Source organism: Homo sapiens, chromosome 1 (genome assembly GCF_000001405.40).
Source record: "Homo sapiens chromosome 1, GRCh38.p14 Primary Assembly".
Classification (NCBI taxonomy): Eukaryota; Metazoa; Chordata; class Mammalia; order Primates; family Hominidae; genus Homo; species Homo sapiens.
In genome coordinates this window covers 185,082,718-185,108,254 of record NC_000001.11, presented here as the reverse complement: position 1 = coordinate 185,108,254, position 25,537 = coordinate 185,082,718, and the positions used below count along the sequence as shown (strand labels likewise).

The following is a 25,537-nucleotide window of genomic DNA, read 5'->3' as shown; positions in this document are numbered from 1 at the left end:
CATCTGCAAATAGGGATAGTTTCAGCTTTTCCTTTTTGATCTGTATGCATTTTTTTTCTTTCTTCTCTTGTTTAGAATTTCCATGTTGAATAAGTAATGAGAGCATACTTGTTCACAATCACAGGGAGAACTGAAGTGTTTCACAATTAAATGTTAGCTATAGAATTTTTTTTGTAGATGCTGCTTGTCAAGTTGAAGTTGCCCTCTATTCCTAATGTTCTGAAAGTTGTTTTTTTGTTTGTTTTTATTGAGACAGGGTCTCACTATGTCACCCAGGCTGAAGTGCAGTGGTGCAATCAGGGTTCACTGCAGCCTCAACCTCCTAGTCTTGGGTGATCCTCCCACCTCAGCCTCTCAAGCAGCTGAGACTGACTAGAGGTGCGTGCCACCACACCCAGCTGGTTTTTGTAGAGACAGGGTTTCCCCATGTTGCCCAGGCTGGTCAAACTCCTGGGCTTGAGCAATCCACCCGCCTGGGCCTCCCAAAGTGCTGGGATTACAGGCATGAGCCACCATGCCAGGCCTCTGAGAGTTTTATAAACCGTGACTGGGTGTTGAATTTCATCAGCTGCTTTTTCTGCATCAATTGATTTGTGATTTTGTTTTTTAGCCTCTTAATATGGTAGATTAATTGAATTTTGAATACTGAAACTGCCTTGCATCTGGAATAAACTCCAAGTCATAATATATAATTCTTTGTATATATTATTGAATTCTACTCACCAATTTTTTTTGGATTTTTAGTCTATATTCATCAAAAATGCAGATCTGTGATTTTCTTAACTGTCTGGTTTTGGTTTAGGGCAATAATAACTTCATGAAATAAATTGGTTAGTGTTCCCTCCTCCCCTATATTTTGAAAGAGATTGTGTAGAATTGGCATTAATTCCTCTTTAAACGTTTGGCAGAATTCTCCAGTGAAATCATTGGAGCTTGAAGGTTTCTTTGAGGAGTTACTAATTTGTGAATTCAATTTCCTTAATACTAGAGGGCTATGTAAATTACCTTTTTAATATCAGGTGTGTTGTGTTAGCTTATGTTTTTGCTTTTTTTTTGAGACGGAGTCTCGCTCTGTCACGCAGGCTGGAGTGCAGTGGCGAGATCTCAGCTTACTGCAAGCTCCACCTCCCGGGTTCATGCCATTCTCCTGCCTCAGCCTCCCGAGTAGCTGGGACTACAGGCACCCGCCAACACGCCCGGCTAATGTTTTTGTATTTTTATTGGAGACAGAGTTTCACCATGTTAGCCAGGATGGTCTCAATCTCCTGACCTCGTGATCCACCTGCCTCAGCCTCCCAAAGTGCTGGGATTACAGGAGTGAGCCACCGTGCCCAGCCTCAGCTGGGTCATGTTTTTGAACTAAACTCCCAATCTTTTAATTGGTATATTTAGACTATTTACATTTCATGTAATTATTGATATATTAGGGCTTAAGTGGGCTTTTATTGGTTTTGTACTTGCATTTTTTTTCATTTTCTGCCTGTGTTACTTGAACATTTTTCAGAATTATACTTTTAGAGTGTATCTCTCTGTAAACACTATAAAACCACTTTTAGTGGTTGCTCTATTATATAAAAATAACTTTTCAGTCTACTGATTTTACCAATTCAAGTGAAGTATAGAAAACCTACCTCCCTTTAACTATTCCTGTTTATAATCATTAAATATTAACTCTACATACCTTTTGAGCCACATCAATGGCATAACTTTTACTTCAGCCATCAAGCAACATTTAGATAACTTAGGAGGAGGGTGTATTCAACTTAGTCATTTTTTTTTTCTCATTGCGTCCTTTCTCCCTATATCATGTTCCAGAGTTCCTTCTATTATCATGTCCTTCCTGTTTATAGAATTTCCTTTAGCCATTCTTTTTTGGGCAGGTCTGCCGGCAGCAAATTCTTCCCCCTTCATTACTGAAGGATACTTTTGCTAAGGTACCTGGATTAGCAGTTATCTTTCAGCACCTGGAAAATATTCTGCAACTTCTTTCTAGCCTCCATGCTTTCAGAATGAGAAGAAAGTATCTGTTGTTTAAGCTGTCTGGTCTATACCTTGTTATAGCAGCCTGAGCTAACACATTTATACTGTCTTTTATATTTTAACTATTCAGTTACCTTTTCCAGTGCTATTGCTTTGTGTGGATTCATGTTACTATCTAATCTTTCATTTCAGCCTAAAGAACTCCCGTTAGTATTTCTTGTGGTTAAGGTTTGCTAGTGATAGTCTTTGTTTTTGTTTATATGGGCATGTCTTACTAATTTCTCCGTTTTTGTGGAATAATTTTACTGATACAGATTTCTTGGCTATTTTTTTCTTTCAGTACTTGGGAATGTCATTCACTGCATCCTGGCCTCTGTGATAGCTTATTGTGAGAAGTGAGCTGTTAATCTTATTTAGGACCCCTTGTTTATGAATTGATTTTCTCATACTGTTCATAGTACTCTTAGTTTTGTGGATCTCTTTGAATTTATATGGTAGTTCGTTGAGCTTTTTAAATGTGCAGGTAATGTTTTTCATCAAATTTTTAAAGCTTTTGGCAATTATTTCTTCAAATATACACTTTCTGCCCCTTTCCCTCCTCTCCTTCTGGAACTCCAATTCTGGGTGCTAGTACAATTGATGGTGTCCTACATGTCTCTGAGGTTCCACTCTTTTTCACTCGTTTTTTAGACAGGATATTCTCAATTGGCCTGTCTTCGAGTTGATTATTTCTTCTACCAGTTCAAATCCACTGTTGAGACTCTAGTGAATTTTAAATTATGATTCTTTTATCTTTCAATCCACATTTCCATTTGGTTTGTTCGTAATTTATTGATATTTATTTGGTGAGACATTCCTCTCATATTTAGTTCAGACATGGTTTTTAGTTCTCTGAACATGTTTTTAAAAGCTGACAAAGTATTTGTCTAATTAGTCCAACATCTGGACTTCCTCACAGACACTTCTGTTTCTTTATAGGTCTTGTAATTTTCTGTTGAAAACTAGGCTTTTAAAATAGTCCCCCCTTTATCCTTGAGGGTATGTTCTAAGATCCCCCCACCCCGCCGTGGATCCTTGAATCCACAGGCTGTACCAAACCCTGTACTTCTTTTTTTCTACACCTACATATATGGTAAAGTTTATAAATTAGGCATGGTAAGAGATCAACAACTAATAATATACAATCATAATATACTGTTCACAATTTCATGAGATCTGTCTCAACTTTGACATAGAAAAAAGCTTTGTTCTTGTCATAGATCTTAGCAAATTCAGCATAATTTATGTTTTCTTTCCTTATTAAGTCAAGAACTCTTACCTTTTCACTTAAAGGAAGCAGTTTATGGCTTCTCTTTGGTATATCCAAATTGCCAACATCACTACCCTTGCAATGTGGGGCCATTAAGTAAAATGAACACAAACACTGCAATACCATGACAATCAATCTGGGAACCGTTAACAGGTACTAAGTGACTAATGAACGAGTAGCATATACAGCAAAGATATGCTGGACACGGGGATAATTCATGTCCCAAGTGGAACGGCACAAGATTTCCTCAGGCTACTCAGAACGGTGTACAGTTTAAAACTTATGAGTTATTTCCGGGATTTTCCATTTAGTATTTTCAGAGTGCAGTTGACCATGGGTAACAAACCACGAAGGCAAAACTGGATAATGGGGGAAGACTATAATACAATGTGGCAACTCTGGAAATGAGAATCCCTTTAGGTCCCCAGGGTTTGTTGTGTTTGCTGTTTAGTGGCCTTCTTTTGACTAACTCTGTAATGTTTGCATTCTCTGCTGTGACCACTGAAGTCTGCTTCATTAGCTTAGTGGTCAGCTAATAACTAGACAGATTTCCTTAAATGCTTTGAACCAGTAAGTCTCTGTCTTGCTAAAGTGCTCTGTCTGGGATATGCCTTCAAAACTCCAGCATGTAGTTTACAACTGTGGCTTACCTTTCACTTCCTGCTGGCACAGAGCCTCAGGGTCTGCTACAGGTGAGGTTAGTGCCTTATATTTTTTTCTTGGGCATGCCAACAGTCTTGCACAAATGTGTGGCCTTCGAGATTCCCAGGAACATAATGGAACTTTTCAAAGCCCTCTACATTTCCTACTTTTTAGTCAGCTGCTTTTTAGGCCCACATGCCTCAGGCAACTGCTGTGTTAAACAACGGCAGGAACGATTTTTTACAAACACCATGAAGATAGAGCTTTTTAAGCAAAGTGAGCTGAGTCCAGTCAAAGACACGCTCAGAGAAAAAGAGCTTTTCAGTGAGGTTCCAGAAAGGCCAAGAGTGATAATTCACTGGAGTGTGATTTTTGGGGAGTTTTGAGGCTATTTTGGGGGAAACTTAAACTTTTCTGAATAGAAATGGGAATTTAAGAGATGCCTTTTCTCACTTGGCATTTCAGTTACTTCACATTTAGTTATCCAAATCAGAATCCTGAGCCTTTGTCTTCTCAAATGTACACAAAGGAAATACTGTCTTCCTAAGGTTCAAAGGGTTAGAAATGATATAATGCAAAATTTATTACAAAGCTAAAGTAATCAAAATAGTGTAGTACTGGCATAAGGACAAACATATAGACCAATGGAATACAACATCCAGAAATAAACCCTCACATATGATTTAGAACAAGAGCACCAAGATCATTCAGTGGAGAAAAGGCTAAGAAAACTGGATATCCAAATACAAATGAACAAAGCTGGACACTGACCTTTCACCATATACAAAACTCACAATGGATCAAAGACTAAGAGCTAAAACTATAAAACTCTTAAAAGAGGAAAATCTTCATGACATTGGGTTTGGCAATCTTCTTGAATATGACACCAATAGCATAGCCAAAAGAAAAAAGACAGATACACTAGACTTCACCAAAATAAAAAAAATTCTGTACATCAAAGGACACTATCAAGGGAATCAAAAGAAAACCCAAAGAATGGGAGAAAATATTTGCAAATCATGTATCTGATAATGGATTACTAACTAGAATAAAGAATGCCCACAACTCAACAATAACAGAACCCAGTCAAAAATGGGTGAAGGACTTGAATACACATACACATTTCTCCACAGAAAATACACAAATGGCCAGCAAGTACAGAAAAAGATGCTCAGCATCACAAGCTGTTAGGGAAATGCAAATTAAAACCACAATGAAAGGAGACATCCAGTAAGACAGCTATCATAAGGATACCCATTAATATAGTTATTTTAAAAAGAAGAAAAGAAAATAACAAGTGTTACAGAGGATACGGAAAAGCCAGAACGCTTGTTCATTGGTGGCAGGAATGTAAAATAATGAAGCTGCTATGGAAAACAGTTTGGAGTCCCTCAAAAAATTAAACATAGAATTATCATATGATGCAGTAATTCTATTCCTTCATATATACCCAAAATAACAGAAGGCAGAACTCAATTATATACTTCTATAATAATGTTCACTGCAGTATTATTCACAATACCAAAAGTCTCCATCAACAGATGAATGGATAAACAAAATGTGGCACATACATACAATATTATTCAGCCATAAATAGGAATGAAATTCTGATATATGCTATCACATGAACCTTGAAAATAATGTGTGATTCCACAGGTGCCATGAGGCACCTAAAATAGACAAATTCAAAAAGAGAAAGTAGAATAGAGGTTGCTAGGGGTTAAGAAGAAGAGAAATGCATTACTTTAATTGCACACAGAGTTTCTGTTTGGGGTGATGAAAAAGTTTTACAAGTAGACAGCGGTGATCATTACACAACATTGTGAATGTACCTAACCCCACTGAATTACATGCCTTAAAATGGTTAAAACTGTAAATGTGGCTATGTATATGTTACCATAAAAAAATTTAGAACTAAGTACCCAAAGCCTTCACACCACTTGTGGTGAGCCTTTTCTTCCTCAGTTGAGATAGTGATAAAAGAAATTACTTAGGTAATACTTTTTGAAACCCTGGTTGGTAGTGATGGCCAATAGCATCGCCTCTCCCCGTACCCCAAAACACACATCCACACACACACAAAATACACTCAATACCCTATCAAATACCTAGAATTATATTTCACAAAGGATTACACAACCAATAATTTCACTAATGATGCAGTTTATATCCTCCCATACTGACAGATAAAAACACATACATTCTCTAAGCACAAAGCTTATAGTCACAAATAACTCTCTGCTTAAAGACAAAATTTCAATTAATCACAATGGGAATTTAGTTATTTAATGCAACTACTAATCTAATGTCATCAACAAAATCTAAGCAGTTTTATCACAAAACCAGGGTTATATTCAGTGGGCATGCATTAATAATCTATACAACTTTAACATTACACCAGAAAAGGAATTGAATATATAAAAGTTCCCTTGATTTTTGGTGGTTTTCAAATTTCATGGCACAGATTACAAAAAAAAAAAAAAAAAAAAAACCCTGTAAAAACAGATTTTAAATATTTTCCATAAAATGGTAAAAAATTGAATATATACCTTTAAGTTTTCATACCGGGCTGAAGATTTAAAACATCAAGCTGGCCCCAATCTGTCAAAACTGACAGATAAATATTTACAATGACTAGACAGACTTTAGTTACAAAGGTACTGGAGGTCTACACCCTATTGAAAACCCTTTAGGGTTAATTTCTCAATGCAAACATGTCTTTTTAAATACTGTGATATATAAAGTTGGAAATATACCTAGAGTCTGGAGAGAGATGAAATATAACACCCAAGTCAATCTTATTTCTGATCTGTCAACAAAGCTTTCTGGCTCCCAAACACCCAATATTGTTCCTCAATATAAAAATTAAGAACAGTAGAATGACTTTACCCTACTGGCTGACGTTTTTCTACAGAATTATCTTTCACTACATATTAAAGCAGGGCTCAAGCTCTATTAACCTTCTACAGAGTGTAATTAAAAGAGCGCCAAATTTATAAACTGATGTGGCAACCCAAAATGATATAATTTTCCAATGGAAACAAACTTTTTTCCATTGTTCTGTGTGCCATGTTATTCTTGAAACTTATGTGGCTACAAATAAGAAAAAAATTAGGGAAGCTTTGAACATATCTTGTACTTTTCATCAAGGCTAAAGTGCAAAATATCTCCATTATCTCTGGTATTTTAATGGGGAAAAACATCACATATAATACAGGAAATGAAGTGACAGCAGAACTAATACAAAAAAAAGCACTCTCAAACGTATACTTGAAGACTATATTTTACTACCAATTTAATTTTTCTTTCTTCAGCAGAATATGTCAATGAACCAAGTTCTCATAGAACTTAAGATTTTGTTTGATTCTTCCCAGGACCAGAAATTCCAAAATTACAGGGAAAAAGAATGGAAAAAAAAAAACATTGCATGACAATGGACACTAAGTTCATAAAGAACTTCTTTTTAAAATGAGATATTATGGAAGAAAATACCATGAAAAGAATAATCCTATGAGAATTGTTTTTAAGGACAGTAAATTTGAGCCTTGGGTCTTCATGAAGATACTACAGTTTATATAGAAAACTATAAATATACAAGACTCCGGGGGAAAAAAAAAGTCAGAATACATAATATTTAACATTCTGTATGACTAAAAATCTTTTGAGGGGAGCAGGAAAAGGACAGCCAACTGAATCTTATAAGAATACAGAAACTATGAAAAATTCCTGGGTCAAAATGGTGCTCCAAGTGGAAACACACTTTGTGGGGAAAAAAAAAAACACAAGAAACTTCAGATATATTTTTTTAAAGGAAAGAAAAAAATACTGAATAATTGCAGTCCCTTCCAAAAAGGAAATCTTAAATAAAGGGGAAAAGATTTGAATAGCGTAAACTAGTCTGGCTCAGAAAGAAAATTGAACAACATATCCAAGATCTGTCCATAAAAGTAATGCCAGTACATCTTTAATATTAAAGAAATAGGCTATAAAAAAGTTCAGTCTCAGAATTGGTTTTTAAAGGCTCATTTGTGCTCCTTTGTAGGTGCGTAATAAAGTTCCATGGGTTTGTTCACTTTCCAGTATTTCTCACTGACCAATTCCAAAGAAAAAGAGCCATTTAATACCTAAAACAAAAAAGAAAGAAAAAATTATGAAAACTGCACAAACCACAATAATAATGAAATGAAACTAAAATGGAAGTCCACAGAATCTTTTTTTTTCAAATCTTAGGAATAACTACTTGTCACTTAACACTGTTACGGTTTTTTACATTATTTATTAGATTCTACCCCACCACTTGCCACTCAGTTAGTTGGTCAGTGTGCTCCCAGTTTCAACAGTCTATTATTTTAAATACTCACAGTGAACTGGCCACTGGCTGTTGCTATATAAATGGTATACTGCTTCTCACTGGCTGTATCAAGGTTCATCTGGTTTGATTCACCTTTGCTTCGAAGTTCTTCTAAAGCTAACCTCACAGCCAGATACTTGGATAAGTGATCAACAGTGGCGTTACCAGAAGTCTTTATGTATCTAGAAGAATAAATCATTAAAAATTTCATTTCTAGAATATGCCAATGAGAAAAATGTACTTAAATTATGGAACTAATACATTTCTTAAAAACTAAGTAAAATGGCAATGTCTCAATTATTGACAAAATAATATCAGAAATTTACTGCTCTACAATCTAAATTTCTTATTGATAGGTACAGAAGAGGGGAAAGTAAATACTCAATATCTTACTGTCAGGTCACAAAAGCTTTACCTACCTTACCTTCTATAAAATGAGATACACAGTGACAAAAATCAAACAGAAATACACAAAGTACTAAGGGGAAAAAAAGGAACATACCCCCCAAACCCTAATGACCAGAATCTGCTGGCTATAGCAGCAACAGAAACAGAATAGAAGCAAATTTCTTATTGTCTAAGAATTAAAATGTCTTTTAAGACTAACCATAGAAATGTTCATTTGGGCCGGGTGTGGTGGCTCACGCCTGTAATCCCAACATTTTGGGAGGCTGAGGCAGGTGGATCACTTGAGGTCAGGAGTTCGAGACCAGCCTGGCCAACATGGTGAAACCCCATTTCTACTAAAAATACAAAAATTAGCCAGGTGTTGTGGTGAGTGTAATCCCAGCTACTTGGGAGGCTGAGGCAGGAGAATCGCTTGAACTCGGGAGGCAAAGGTTGCAGTCAGCCAAGATTGTGCCACTGTACTCCAGCCTGGGAGACAGAGCAAGACTCCCATCTCAAAAAAAAAAAAAAAAAGAGGCCGGGCACAGTGGCTTGGGCCTATAATCCCAGCACTTTGGGAGGCCAAGGCAGGCGGATCACGAGGTCAAGAGATCGAGACCATCCTGGCCAACATGGTGAAACCCTGTCCCTACTAAAAATACAAAAATTAGCTGGGCTTGGTGGCATGAGCCTGTAGTCCCAGCTACTCGGGAGGCTGAGGCAGGAGAATCGCTTGAACCCAGGAGGCGGAGGCTGCAGTGAGCCGAGATCGCGCCACTGCACTCCAGCCTGGCGACAGAGCAAGGCTCCATCTCAAAAAAAAAAAAAGTTAATTTGAGGATTTTTAAAACATAATATATCATTAAATCCCTCATTCAATAAATATTTGATGCTTATCTGTACTCAACAGCAAGCAGTGTGCTGGAGATACAGTGGTAACGTAGCCATTCTTGCCAGCATGAGTTTTAGAGCCTATTGGTACTCTAGTATCATTGCTGAGAAATTTGAATAGGCCCCTTTACCTTCTCTACCAAGGAGAGTCATTCCTTTCAGATGTGCAATTTTGGGTGGAAAGCACATGAGGGAGGAAGGAAGAAAACAACAATCTAGGCAGCTAGTAACTGAACCCCTGCAATCAATGGGATGACAAATATTGCTCCTACTTCTTATACAAGACTGCCTTTTACCTCCAAATTAAACATTCTGAATTTAGATAATCTGAAACTAATCCACACACTTACCTCGTCTGTGCACTGTCATCTTTTTCCATAAGTGTGGGATGAGGCCTGAATACTAATTCAATTTCACTAGCACCATCCATTACTGGATCAATTGCCATTGCTGCATTGTTATTATCAAGCTCTAGCCCAGAATCATCAGATGTTTTGGTCCGTTTGTTACTAGGGCCTGCTTCCTGATTGCTATGTGTGGATGCATTACTGCAGTGTGAACTGTCACCATTATCTTCTGCTCCACTACCATTTTCAATCTGTTGTTTCTTGCCTCGCTGCAGTCTAGTCAAGGGGGAAAAAAGGATGCATAAAATTTACTTTTAGGCCTTTAAAGCAACAAATCTGAAGCATGTTTGCTACTGAACTTTAGAATTCCAAAAAATACTGGTAACTGAATTTACTCTGAGTTGGATGATATTGTTTCCCACATGTTCCTGAAAGGTCTAAAAAATCTCTCTTGCTCACAGGCAAACATTTAAATAATTTAACGAATGTTTCTATTCACTTAATAATTTTACTGGCCAGGCACGGTGGTTCACACCTGTAAACCCAACACATTGAGAGGCCAAGATGGGAGGAGCTTGAGGCCAGGAATTTGAGACCAGCTTGGGCAACAAAGTGAGACCCTGTCTCTACCAACAACAAAAAATTTTAATTAGCTGGGCGTGGTGGTGCACCTATCATCTCAGCTACTCAGGAGGCTGAGACAGGAGGATGGCTTGAGCCCAGGAGTTGAAGGGCGCAGTAAACTAGGATGGCTCCACTGTACTCTGGCCTGGGCCAGAGTAAGACGCTATCTCTTAAAAATAATTTTCTTTATTAAACAAAAGACTATAAGAATTAATTGACAAATCTTTATATTCTGATCATTTTCTCTCATGGGGTTACAGGTCTGAAGAAAGGCATGATTCAAATATGAAAATGTAAAAGTTCTTAGGGAAGATATTTATGCCTCTTTAAAGAAATTCTTAAGGAAACAAAAGTTAAGAAGAATAGTAAGTACTTCCTCCCTGCTGACCTTCCGCCAAGTCAGCTAAGGCGATACAAAATGACTGAGGAAAATGCGATGGTATCTAAATAACCAACGTGGACACAGAAGCTGCTCTCTAACAAGCTCAGATACTAAAGCTAATTACCGGGCAAGGCACTTTATACATACAATCTTGTTTACTCTTCAAAATAACCTGTCAAGGCAGTTACCATTAATGTCATTTTCTAGTTGAGAAAAGCAAAGAAAACTCAGGTACAAGATTAAATAATTTGCCTCCAGTTATACAGCTAATAAGTGCCAGAACTAGAGCTAGGATGTGAACCAGACCACATTCTTCCTACCACACTGCCTGTCTCCCTACCTGTATAGATAAGAAAAAAGGAATATATAATGAAAAAGAAATATGAAAGAATGCCTTGCACTTGTAAGAATATTGTCATTATGTTTACTGCCAGAACAAAGAAATAACAGTCCAATGGTTAGGAAAGATGCTCAAGAACTCATGCTTTAAAAAAAAAAAAAAAAAAATCCTGCTTATAAAATTCATAGATCATTGCAAAACCAAGAGAGTATGACTAGTATGTTAAATAACAAACTATGATTCAAAAATACATAAGCACACACAATGGATTATTCAGTCCTAAAAAGGAAGGAAATCCTGCCACATACAACATGAATAGACATGCTGAGGTCATTTAAGTAATATAAACCAGGCACAAAAGTACAAATACGTAACTTGGTGGCCTACAGTCAAGTAAAAAGAGAAATAAATAACAGTAAATAACAACAACAAAAAAAAAACCCCAAAAGTACAAATACAGCACGATTTCACTTATGTGAGGTATCTAAAGAAGTCAAATTCATAAAACAAAGTAGAATGACAGTTACCGGGAACTGGGGGGAGGGAGAAATGAGGAGTTAGTGCTTAATGGATACAGGGTTTCAATTTTATAAGATGAAAAGAGTTCTGTAGATTGGCTGCACAACATTGTGAGTGTTCAGCTTTGAGGAGCCAATCGTTTAAAAGAAAAAAAAGAATGTACTTAACACTACTGAACTCTACACTTACAAATGGTTAAGATGGAAAATTCTGTTATATGTCTTTTACCACAATTTTTGAAAAAAAGGTATGAACGGGCTAAAATAATGGGACAAAAAATTGATAGCACAACATAAAGACTAAAATATATTCTAAAATCCACAACTAAAGCAAATGAAAAGTTATTTGACCATAAATTACAGTGACCTAACAGGTTTATTAAGACTCAATATATTTATTTTTATCCCACACCTTTCCAAAAAAGGATTGATGTGACAGAGCTATATTAATGTAACTGCAGGCAGCGTTTAAAGAATATGTTCATATAAAGAACATTAAGTCTATTATATCCTACATTTATCAAATCACGTCTATAATACTACATACTGTCCTGATGGTAGCATTTTAAGAATGACACCAATCTTGAGTGTCATATGAGGAACAAAAAAGAAATGAGGAATGTGAATATTAAGCCTTTAGAGGGACATATACGAACATATACCTACATAAAAATATTTGTAAACACAGAAGTAGAATCTGAAATGTATGTAGAAGTCAACATAAGTATTTCAACATAAGACAAACCCAGACTGCTGCACACAAGAGACTAATTTTAATTCAATATAAAGGAAGAACTTAAAAATTCACACATAGATAAATATTTACTGAGCAGCTACTACTTTAAGCCAAGCATGGTTCTAAATAATGGTGTTAATAAGAATCAATGATACTGACATAGTCTCTTCCCTCTTAGGGGTCATAATTCTAGTGTAGCAGGTAACACATGAGAGAGTGATACGTGCTATGGGAAAAAAATGAGGCAGGGAGGGTAAGGAATTACAGAGTCCTAGAATGGAAGATGAGAACTTAAGCAGATACCTGCTAAGAAAGTGAGGTAGTGTGCCATGTGGATTATTTGGAAGAAGGTTCCTGAAATAGAGTAGTGTAAGTACAAAGGCTCTGAGGCAGAAGCATGCTTGGTGAGTCTGAAGAACAGTAAGGAAGCTGTAATAAAGTTGCCAACAAAAGAAAGGAGTGCCTATCATACAGCCCCACCACTAGAAATGTACAAGCAAAACCAAAAGAATATTTACAAGGAGAGTCTTGCTTTTAGTAAAAGGCTAAACTGAACAACCATTAAAGTCCTTCCAACGCTTAGGAATGTAAAATTCTTCTAAAAATAAATACATTTAACATTTAGTACATTATACTTTGGTAAACAGAGTGGTAGGTCAGTTTAATACTGTTAGAATGGAGCACATCTTTTAACCTTTAAGCCAGTGGTTTTTGATCTTGACTACACTCCAGAATTATCTATGGAAACTTAAAAGCAGAAATGCCTGGATGCTGATTACTGGGACCGGGATGATGCCTAAAGCCATGAGATTTGAAAGTTTTCTGAGTGAGTCTGATGTTCAGCCAAGGTGAAAACCACTAGACTGAGATGGACTTTACTATTATCTCCTTCTATGGAAAATAATGATTCTCCTTGAGGCCTGAATAAATCAGACGATAATGTCAGAGAGGAAAAGAAGATGAGGGTAAGGAAAATGCCCACCTTATATAGGGTCTTAAAAACCATCATTAAAGTCTTTTAGTTTTTAGCCTGAATGTGAATAGAAGCTATTAGAGGGCTCTGAGCAAAGGAAAACCATGATCTTCCTTTCAATTTAACAGTATCTCTGGCTGCTGTGCTGAGAATAGACTATGTGGGAGTAAGCATGGGAAGTAGAAAAACCAGTTGGGAACTTACTTCAATACATCAAATGAAAGATTGTTGTGGCCTGAATGAATCTGGATATACTATGGAGAAAGCAAAAAATATTTGTTTATTTACGGACTGGAATACAGGATGTGTAAAAGAGATTTAAAAGCGACTCCAAGGCCAGGTGTGGTGGATCACACCTGTAATCTCAGCACTTTGGGAGGCCGAGGCAGGCAGATCACAAGGTCAGGAGTTGAGACCAGCCTCGCCAATATGGTGAAACCCCATCTCTACTAAAAAATACAAAAATTAGCTGGGCATGGTGGCGTGCACCTGTACTCCCAGCTACTCAAGACGCTAAAGCAGGAGAATCGCTGGAAACCCAGGAGGCAGAGGTTGCAGTGAGCCAAGATGGTGCCACTGCACTCTGGCCTGGGTGACACAGCAAGACTCCATCTCAAAAAATAAAAAAAATAAAAAAAAAAAACTGACTCCAAAGTTTTTGGCTTAAGCAAGTAGAATGATGGAATTGCCATCAACCAAAATGAGTAAGAATGAAGAGAAGTAGGGAGTAAGTTCAGTATTCATCATGTTAAGTTTGAGATGAGTATTAGATACCCATATGGAGAAATGTCTAAAATTCAGGTAAGTCCGGGCTGGATATATAAATTTGGGAGTCATCAGCATACAGATGGTAAATAAAACTATGAAACTGAGTAAGATAATTTGGAGACAGATTTTGTATTGAAAAGAGAAACAAACACTGGTCTCTGGGACACGCCATATTTCACAGTTGGGGAAATTGAAATAAAAAGTACAAAAGAAACAAGTAAAGGAACAGTTAATGACATACAAAGGGAACCAAGAGACTATGGCCTCCTGAAAGCCAGGTGAAGAAAATTATTCAAAGAGAAGGGAGAAATTAATTGTGTCAAATGCTGCTAAGTAACGCGAGGTCTGAGAATCAGCCATTAGATGGCACAATGAAGAGATCACTAATAACATTGATAAGAGCAATATGATGGGGTGGTGAGGATGAATGTCTGATTGGAGGGGGTTCATAAAAGAATAGGAAAAGAATTGGAGTTACAACTCTTTCAAGGAATTTTGCTATAAAGAGAAGAAATAGAATAAGTTGAGAAAAAAGTAAGTAAAACAGAGATTCTAGTATTTTAAATGAAATACCCTATTATGCCTGGAGGCATGTATTATACCTGCACGAAAGGTAATCATGCAGTACTACTATTTGTTACTGTATTTTACCTTTTTCAAAAAGTAAATTTAATTGTTAATAAAGTATTCAGAAAAACAGCTACCCTCTCTGACCCTCTTTCCCATATACCTGTTCATGGCCTGTATCTTCAGTCCTTCCTCAATGCTGTGACTGAGTGCTTGCTGATTATTGTGCTTGTTGATCCTGGCTAATACTCTCTCTTGATGAGCTTCATACTCATCACGACTTGGATAAATTTTGCTGATGAGTGCATCAAAGTTTGGGTCTGGCCTTAGTGATCTTTTGGAAACTAGTTTTTTCCGACAGGTAGGACATTCTTTGTTGCTAAATAAAAGGAGGGGAAAGCAAATGTAAACAATGCTAGTATCTTTGGGCTAAAGACAAAAATACCCAGCTTCTGGATAGTTATTCACCTTTATTCCAATACCTTTAATAAGTCACAGAAATGTAAACCAATTATCCTGAATTTCCTTGAAAATCTGACTAGTGGGTAAGCAAGATTTTGGAAACCTCAAACCCTCTATACCACTCGTCGAAAGAAAAAATTTGAGTATTTCCCAAGATAATTTATATATAACCATCTTAGAAATAAAAATCTATTTTTTCTAATTTAAATTTCCCCTTTCCGATATCCATGCTTTGCAAGGAAAAAATACCCACTAATATATATATGTTAATTTATATGTAATAAATTATTTTACTGAAATAATACTTTCATATGGATATTATTTTATATACTTAAGTGGAAAAATCGTGGTTTTATGCGTTGTAATTTCCTCAAAACAAATACTCATCTTATGAAGTGTCTAAAAATCAGCGATTTCAATACAAAGATTTTCCTACAATTAAAACTTAGGCTTTAGAAAGATTTCTAGTTTTCAATCAAACACTTACAGAAAATGTATTTCTCGGCTAGGCACGGTGGCTCACGCCTGTAATCTCAGTACTTTGGGAGGCCGAGGCGGGTGGATCACGAGGTCAGGAGTTCAAGACCAGCCTGACCAACACAGTGAAAGCCCCCCTCTACTAAAAATACAAACATTAGCCAGGCGTGGTGATACACGCCTGTAATCCCAGCTACTCAGGAGGCTGAGGCAGGAGAATCACTTGAACCCGGGAGGTGGAGGTTGCAGTGAGCCGAGATTGTGCCACTGCACTCCAGCCTGGGTGACAGAGTAAGATTCCATCTCAGGAAAGGAAAGGAAAGGGGAAAGGGGAAAGAAGAAAAAGGAGAAAGGAAAGGAAATGTATTTCTCGGCCAGGTGCAGTGACTCATGTCTGTAATTCCAGCACTTTGGGAGACTGAGGCGGGTGGATTACCTGAGGTCAGGAGTTCAATATGCTGAAACCTGGCCAACAAGTTGAAACCCCGTCTCTACTAAAAATACAAAAAAAAAAAAAAACTAGCCGGCCACGGTGGCAATGCCTGTAATCCCAGCTACTCTGGAGGCTGAGGCAGGAGAATCGCTTGAACCCAGGAGGCAGAGGTTGCAGTGAGCCAAGATCGTGCCATTGCACTCCAGCCTGGGCAAGAAAAGCGAAACTCTGTCTCAAAAAAAAAAAAAAGAAAATGTATTTCTCAAACCCTGGAAAGCACTTTCGTGGTACAATTAAGTACCTAGTATAACAACTCTTTTCAACATACCCACTTCTAAGGGCTGTGATGATGCAGTCTGCACAAAAACGATGTAAACACTCCTTTGTAGTCATGGTGTTCTTCAACATATCCAAACAAATTGGGCACATTAATTCACTGTGTAGACTTCGAGGTGAAACCACAATTTCTAAGCCATCTGTTATTGCCTCCTGTAAAAGAGTCACTTTAAAATTAAAAGCTACTTAATTTTTTATTATGGACAAGCTCAAACATATAAAAGTACTGGAAATGGTAAAAACAAACATATATGTACCCATCACCCAGCCACTGCCATTGTCAACTCACAGCTAATTTTGTTTCAACTATAATCGCCTACAGCTCCCCTCAGCCTCACCACCACTGTTATAAAAATGCTCTTGCTTTAATGCTAAAGATAACATATTAATGTATTTAAAAGCTTACTAGTGGGAAATTAGTCTGGTATAATACAAAAAATTGAATTTGGAATCATATACCTTAGGTTAGATCTAGTTCTAGTCAAATTAACTAGCTGAGTCTAAATAATTATTTAACATTGTCTTCTTACCTGCAAAATGAGAAAGTTAGGGCTAAATTAACCCTCAGAAAACGTCCACCTTCAAAAGTTACACCATTTTCACAATAAATTATGTTTCATGCTGCCCATTAAAACAAGATTCCAATAAAAGTTTCTCTAGTTTATAAACAGCTTAATAGAATTTCATTTTAAAATACTTTTGAACCCCGAAAATTCTTTTCCACAGAGCAATTTTATACAAAGTAGTCAGCTTCTCACGCTAACCCAGGAGCTGATTTAAACCAGAATATATCCAAAGTATAAAATGTATTGCTATATCTAACTGTCATGCCTAAAGATGTTTCTCTCCAAAATGCATCTGGAGTTCCAATGTAAAATTTCAGGACATATCTCCCCTGCTGCAGAATGATTAGTGAATCCTACTTGGTTCACTACCCTCTCCACAAGCTGGCAGTGAGAACACAGATTACTCAGCTCTAATGCCACCAGTATCAACTCCTATGGATTGAGGAGAGTTCTAGTATGGCGAGAATTGTAAAGGAAGATGCAGGTATAAATAAGTGGCTTTCAATACGCTCCCGTGCTTCCTGTTTCCACTGGCAGTCCATCATACTTGTGCTTTCTTTATATGGTCAAAGATGGATTACTCCACAAAGAAAAATATAGAAACTATAGCTATTGTTCATAAAGGGCTCAAGCATTAATAAAATGTTTGTTAGATTTCAGCCTCTCTATATAAATATGAAATAAAAAATTTTCATTTTTCCCTTAGTTTAACACTTAGACAAACTTGATTTAGGAAACTATCACTCAAGAGTATATTGATGACCCAGAGAGTAATCAAGTCTGTTCTCCTCTGCCTCTTTAGAACATGCCTAACAAAATCCCAACCCTGGATAAATTCAACCATCTATGTTCTCCTCCAGGGCTGTACCTGTGCAGATGTGTAGCACTGTAGGGGAAAAGAAAAAGGGAAAACCACCTTGGTGTAACTAAAAATTTCACCAGCCTCGGCCAGGCACGATGGCTCACACCTGTAATTCCAGCACTTCGGGAGGCCGAGGCGGGTGGATCACAAGGTCAGAAGTTCGAGACCAGCCTGACCAACATGGTGAAACCCTGTCTCTACTAAAAATACAAAAATTAGCCGGGCATGGTGGCACACGCCTGTAATCCCAGCTACTTGGGAGGCTGAAGCAGGAGAATCATTTGAATCTGGGAGGTAGAGGTTGCAGTGAGCCGCGATCACGCCACTGCATGCCAGCCTAGGTGACAGAGCGATACTCTGTCTCAAAAAAAAAGCCTCCCGAGTAGCTGGGATTACAGGTGTGCACCACCAGGCCTGGCTAATTTTTTGTACTTTTAGTAGAGACAGGGTTTCACCATGTTGGCCAGGCTGGCCGCAAACTCCTGACCTCAGGTGATCCACCGGCCTCGGCCTTCCAAAGTGCTGGGATTACATGTCTGAGCCACCACGCCCGGCCTCTATCTCCATCTTATAAACACAATTGAAAACTCAATTTCACATTGGTCTCCAGTTTTTGCTCCATTTCTCTGCTCCCCTGCATAGCTGAATTTCTCTGAAGAACTGCCTATTCATCTTTTGTCACTTCTACCCTCCCCTTACTGGGCCATATATATATAATTATCATATCCTTGATTCATCACATGAACCAATGATGAGAATGCACCATGATTCCAATCAACCCTCAAACTTGTACAATCTACTCAGGTGAACGTGCTCTTGTCAAGGTCACCAAGTATATACGGTCGACCCTTGGTATCCATGGGGGATTGGCTCCAGGAACTTCCACAGATATCAAAATCCTTGGATGCTCAAGTCCCTTATAAAAAAATGGCATGATGTTTGCATATAACTTAGGCATATTCTCCCACATACTTTAAATCAGGGGTCCCGAACCTCAGGCCATGGACAGGTATTGGCTTGTTAGGAACCAGACCACACAGCAGGAGGTGAGCAGCAGGCAAGTAAGCATTACTGCCTAAGCTCTGCCTCCTGTCAGATCAGTGGTGGCATTAGACTCTCGTAAGAGTCCGAACCCTATTGAGAACTGCACATGCAACGGATCTAGACTGCATGCTCCTTATTATAATCTAATGCCTGATGATCTGAGGTGGTGCAGTTTCATCCTGAAACCATCCCCCACCCACCCACCCACCTCCAATCCATGGAAACACTATCATCCATGAAACTGGTCCCTGGGGACTGCTGCTTTAAATCATCTCTAAATTACTTTAATACTTAATACAATGCCCATTCAGCACCTCATTTGCATGGATTCAACATAGTACTTATTAGCACATGGATGAAACTGGTCCCTGGGCATGCTGCTTTAAATCATCTCTAAATTACTTTAACACTTAATACAATGCCCATACAGCACCTCACTTGCATGGATTCAACATAGTACTTATTAGCACATGGAAAATTCAAATTTTGGTTTTTGGAACTTTGTGAAAATTTTTCTTCCTGGATTTTTTCAGTTGTGGTTGCTTGAATCCACAGATGCAGAACCCCATGTATGTGGAGGGCCAACTGTATTGTTAAGTCTAATTTACACTTGTCTAACCTTCATCTTATTAAGCCTGTCACTAGTGTTAAACACTTTAACTACATCCTCCTTGAAATACTTCCTTTAGCTTTTTTTTTTTTTGAGACGGAGTTTCGTTCTTGTCGCCCAGGCTGGAGTGCAATGGCGCAATCTCGGCTCACTGCAACCACCGCCTCCCAGGTTCAAGTGATTCTCCTGCCTCAGCCTCCCAAGTAGCTGCAACTACAGGCACGTGCCACCATGCCTGGCTAATTTTGTATTTTCAGTAGAGACGGGGTTTCTCCATGTTGGTAAGGCTTCCTTTAGCTTTTAAATCCCCCCTCTCTCTCAATCTCCTGTTTTTCCTTCCTTTTCTCTGGATGTTCTTCTCAGTCTCCTTCACTGGCTCCTTGTCCATTACCTAATTTCTAAATGTTGAAACAGCTCTGGATGAAGTTATAGGTCCTCTGCTCATCTCTCTGGATGAGTTTAACCATTCTTATTGCTTAAAATGTGCTGTCAATCCCTAAAATTTTGTATTTAGTTCAGACTAATATAAAAATCATCTATAGTTGGCATCTCTGCCTGCCTGTTGTATAGGAATCTCAAAATTAATCCAGTGTTAAGCATGTTTGTTGCCTTCAAACCTGCTCCTCCCCTAGTCTGCCATCATCTCAAAACAGTCTTCCTTGGTGCCTTATCAGTACTTATTACAGCAAGGAGGACTTGCCCAACTTTCTACAACTTCTCACATGTGAATTTTATAGATATGTACTTTTTCAATGTCTGTAAAGTCCATGGTTGGTGCTACATCTGTTTTATTCACCACTGTTCACCCAGTACCTACCACAAAAGCTTGTATAGAGTATTCAGATTATTTGTTCAATCAATGAATAAAGTGTTAGCCAACATACAGAAGTCAGGAATGCTTGAATATAAATTTATTATTACTCTATGTTCTATTTAAGTTTTCATGTTCTAAAAATGTATCCCAGTTTACACGTCTCATATGCCCCTTGGCAGTCATCTTAGTCATTACCTGAGGTGTTCGTTGTAACTCATATAAACTGAGTTCCCATGTTTTGCTTAATGGTTGAGTTCCGTTTGTCTGCACAGCCTGAGACATTGCTGGAAATAAAGAAGAGAGAAAAACAATTTTAGTATTTGGAAGGGAAGTGCTATGGTCTGAATGTATGTGTCCCACCAAAATTCCTACGTTGAAATCTAATCTCAATGAAGTAATATTAAGAGGTGGGGACTTTGGGAGGTGATCAGGTTATGAGGGCTCCACCCTCATGAATGAAATTAGTGCCTTTATAAAAGAGGCTTGATGGAAACTTTTGGCCCTTCCAGCATGTTCTGACACAGAGAAGCAGCTATAAGGAATAGGCCCTCACCAGACACTGCATCTGCTGGTGCCATGATCTTGGAATTCCCAGTCTCCAGAACTGTAATACATTTCTATTGCTTATAAATTACCCAGCCTAAAGTATTTTTTATAGCAGGCTAAATGGATTAAGATAGGAAGTAAATCTCAAAACTGATTTTTAGGAATTGTTAATCTTGAGAATAAAAAAAACAAATTATTCACTGGTTCTCAAAAATTAAAAAGAAGAAAAACTCAAAATCTTTACACTTATAAATATGAACTACTTGACAGTAAAAGCCTACTACTGACTTCCAAATGCCCAAGAGCTGGCATACAGGAAGTACTTAGCATATCAAAAGTGCTTAATTACTGCTGAATGTATACAAGATTGTCTTAACCCAAAACAATAAATATTTTTATGAAATTCATGGTCATGGAACTTAGAACTAAATCAGGAAAACTTCAGATTCTTCAGCATAGCTATCTAGTCCAATGCTGTCCAAGTTAAAAAATCTACTTTAGAGCACTTTAAACCACTAGTCATTCTGCCTCTTTTCACAGCTTCACTCATGAAAAATTCCCGACCTCATGTTCAGAAAGCTCTTCCTAATGTTGAGACCCAAACTGCTACCTATTCATCCTATAGCTGCCCTCTGAAGACAAACTAATAATAACAATTAGTCTATAATTTTTCTACATGACAGCCTTTCAAATATTTGGAAAGTGGTATCATATCCCACCTGATTTTCCTTTACTTTTGGCTAAATATCCTAGTTCCTCCTATTGTTCCCCATTTGACATCATTTCAAAGTCTCCTCACCACGCTGATTAATTCTGCCTCCTTTCCCGATATAAATGAACTGAAGAGCATAAGACCAACTTCTCTGCTTGTCTTTGAGTAGGGGGACATCTAGTATAAATATGGGAAAGAGGGTTGTAGATAAAAAAAACTCACTCTTGTGGGACACAGAAAAATGAAGTGACCCCAGTCATCCTAATATTTAGTAAATATTTCTCACTAGTCAAGCAGAACTGCCCCAGGGTCCTTGTCTAGAAGGAAATGCATGCAAATAGATAAACAACAATCGATAAGACAAAGTCTAAGCAGGAGTACAGACAAAAATATATGGAATTATAGAGGTGGATTGGGGAATTTGAGGAGTTAAGGAGGCTTTGGTAGAGATGAAATAAACCTTAAAAAGAAAGAGATTATCAATCCAACAGAGCTTAAAGGAAAAAAATATATTAATACAGATTACTACAGTGGAATGGAAGTATAAAAGAAAGCAGGTTCTAAGCAAATTACAGCACCATGTATGGGTATGCTTGTGATTGGAAGATACTAAAAGTTTTAAACAGGGCCAGGTGCGGTGGCTCATCCCTATAATCCCAGCACTTTGGAAGGCCAAGGCAGGCAGATCACCTGAGGTGAGGAGTTCGAGACCAGCCTGGCCAACATGGTGAAACCGTCTCTACTAAAAATACAAAAATTAGCCGGGTGTGGTGGTGCGCGTCTGTAATCCCAGCTATGCGGGAGGATGAGGTAGGAGAATCGCTTGAACCCGGGAGGCAGAGGTTGCAGTGAGCTGAGATCGCGCCATTGCACTCCAGCCTGGGCGACAGAGCGACACTTAGTCTCAAAAAAAAAAAAGTTTTAAACAGGAGAGTGACATGATCAAATCGTTCACAAAAACTCAAGTAGTATAGAAGGTAGAAGACTAGAAAGCAACTAACAATAAAATCAGTGAGAGAAAGTTGTTAAAAACCTGTATGATATTAACTATGTGAACTAAAGCAATTAAACATGGACACAGAGACGGAATTAGAGAGAGCACTAAATGATATACAAAACACTGGTATAAGAAAGAAGGGTCAGGCCGGGCGCGGTGGCTCACGCTTGTAATCTCAGCACTTTGGGAGGCCGAGGCAGGCGGATCATGAAGTCAGGAGATCGAGACCACGGTGAAACCCCGTCTCTACTAAAAATACAAAAAATTAGCTGGGCACGGTGGCGGGCGCCTGTAGTCCCAGTTATTGGGGAGGCTGAGGCAGGAGAATAGCATGAACCCGGGAGGCGGAGCTTGCAGTGAGCTAAGATCACGCCACTGCACTCCAGCCTGGGTGACAGAGTGAGACTTTGTCTCAAAAAAAAAAAAAAAAAAAAAGAAAAAGAAAGAAGGGTCAAATATGGCTCTGAGAAAGCAACCATTTTTTATTGAGAGAGAACACAGAAAGAAAAGTATGCGTTGGAAGAGCAGTACAGTTGCTACACACACTGAGTTCCAGCTACTCAGGGACCACTAAGGTAGAGTGGTCCAGCAGACGATGTGGGCAAAAAAAATTCCCACACCTCCCTGAAGACACAACATGTCCCTCATTCCTGTACTCTGGAGCTAACGGTTAACAGACTGGTAATCACAGAGTTTGATTATTCAGTCATAGGCCCCAGCCACCATTTTATAAGCATTATTAGACACCTGCTATGGCAACTCTCTCTTGTGAATCAAAGTGAAAGCTGCAAGCTTCTCCTGGTAGAATTCCTGCTATATGCATTCTTATAATCCTAAATTATTGCGCTTAGTAGGCTAGATGGCACAATTTCTCCAAGGATGATTTCTAGTTACCTCAGCTATTATGAAGAATGTGGGGCACATCAAAGATAATACAGCTAAGAGAAGCTCTAGAAAGGAAAGGAAAAAAAGTACCAAATATGCAATGGCCTTTTGTGACCAGCATGCCAAGGTCTCAAAATAAAACTGACTTGAAAACAGCATCCCTAGAAGATTCTCTTGCAAAAGTAAGAAGGGGGAAACAAAACCCCTCAAACTATCTGAAACGTGTCCTCCTTATGCATCTAACATTATCATGCTTTAGCATCACCATCAGCACATATTCCTTTTGTTCTTCTCTATTCCCTCCCCAAAAATCCTAAATGAACTATCCTTTCCTAAGGTCTTCTCCCCCAAACAACCAATGACCTAATACTCATTTAAAATTGCTACAATGCTGATTCGAGTGGTAAGCCAACATAAACTGAATTAAGGCATGGTTTAAGGCTGAGCTAACAATTAAAGCCAACAGATAGCTAGAAGACTTAAAGACTGGGTGGCTATGGTGGCTCACAGGACTGCCTGAGGCCAGGAGTTCAAGACCATTCTGGGCAACATAGCAAGAAGCCATCTCCTCAAAAAAAAATTAAAAATTAGGTGGGTGTGATGGTGTGTGCCTGTAGTTTTAGGTACTTGGGAGGCTAAGGCTGGAAGATTGCTTGAGCCCAGGAGTTTAAAGTTTCAGTGAGGTACGACTGTGCCACTGCACTCCAGCCTGGGCAACAGAGTGAGATCCCACCCCTAATTTTTTTTTTTTTTTTTAAGGAAAAGACTTAAAAAAAAAAAAAAAAGGTAGGCCAGGCACAGTGGCTCACACCTGTAATCCCAGCCCTTTGGGAGGCCGAGACAGGTAGATCACTTGAGTCCCAGAGTTTGAGACCAGCCTGGGCAACACAGCAAAATCCCCTCTCTACAAAAAATACAAAATGTTAGCCAGGAGTGGTGGCACACACCTGGAGTCCCAGCTACTCAGGAGGCTGAGGTTGTAGTGAGCTGAGATCACACCACTGCACTCCAGCCTGGGCAACAGACTGAGCTCGAGTCTCCAAAAAACAAAAATACACCTAATAATAGTGACTAGAGTAAGAAAAATAGGGTTGGCCTGTAGTCCCAGCTACTCAAAAGTCTGAGGCAGGAGGACTGCTTGAGCCCAGGAGTTCAAGGCTGCAGGAGAGACCCTGAGTGGGAAGGAGAGAGAAAGCGAAGAGTGGAGGGGAGAGACATGAGAAATTGCCGTCAAGACTTTATACTGTGGAACAGACCCAAAGTTAGTATAATAAAAACCCAGCCTGTCTTCTTGTTCATAGGCTAAAACAAAATACGGGACTTATAAAATAAAATTAAAATGGAAAATTGCAAATTTGGACAATCTCCAACATGTAGCTAAAAGCATTCAAAGAACCTGAGAAAACTGACAAAATACGAACTAAAACAAACATACAATCCTTCGAATAAATCTAGCTATCAAAATAATTTTTAAAAAATCAAAAGATATTTTATCCTCTAAGAATTAAAGACCTACTCGTAAGATATTAGTAGATAAAGCAAGCAGAAAAATAAGAGGCTTTGTTCCGTATTAGCAAACAAAGAAGCAGGGGAAAAAAACAATGGCCAGAGCCTATCCAAATGATGCTGCTTTGAAGATGACTCTAGTTGTTGAATTTGAGGTGAACCATGTATAAATATAGATGGCCAGCTTCTTTGTAGATATTAGGTTAGTGCAAATTAATTGTGGTTTTTGCACTGTTGGAATTCACCATTTGATACTGGAATACATTCTTCAATGTGGTTATGTTATACATCATTTTAATGGGCATTTCTCACTTTATGTTTTTTTGCTAACGACTTGTTACTTGCTGTTCATTTTATGTTTATTTTAGACTATGGAAATGTTATTAGACAAAAAACAAATTTGAGTGATTTTCTTATTCGAGTTCAAAATGGTTCGTAAAGCAGTGGAGACTACTCGCAACATCGACACTGC

The 25,537-nt window shown here is 38.2% G+C and overlaps 1 protein-coding gene across 4 annotated transcripts in view; it reads right to left on the bottom strand.

Annotated features, from left to right (window-relative positions):
• Positions 1 to 5,651: 5,651 nt before the first annotated feature.
• The window catches only part of RNF2 (ring finger protein 2), a 57,046-nt gene continuing 37,160 nt past the window's right edge, over positions 5,652 to 25,537 (bottom strand). For 3 of the 4 annotated variants that reach the window (NM_007212.4, XM_011509852.3, XM_011509851.4), the window contains exons 2-7: positions 20,615 to 20,703; positions 16,516 to 16,676; positions 14,979 to 15,194; positions 9,911 to 10,183; positions 8,293 to 8,464; positions 5,652 to 8,055 (exon numbers count right to left, since the gene is read on the bottom strand). In NM_007212.4, the coding sequence (NP_009143.1) occupies positions 7,954 to 8,055; positions 8,293 to 8,464; positions 9,911 to 10,183; positions 14,979 to 15,194; positions 16,516 to 16,676; positions 20,615 to 20,701 (1,011 nt within the window). In that variant the 5' untranslated portion in view covers positions 20,702 to 20,703 and the 3' untranslated portion in view covers positions 5,652 to 7,953. Of the gene's footprint in view, positions 8,056 to 8,292; positions 8,465 to 9,910; positions 10,184 to 14,978; positions 15,195 to 16,515; positions 16,691 to 20,614; positions 20,704 to 25,537 lie in introns of those variants that run through there. The other variant, XM_005245413.4, reaches the window with a different exon arrangement.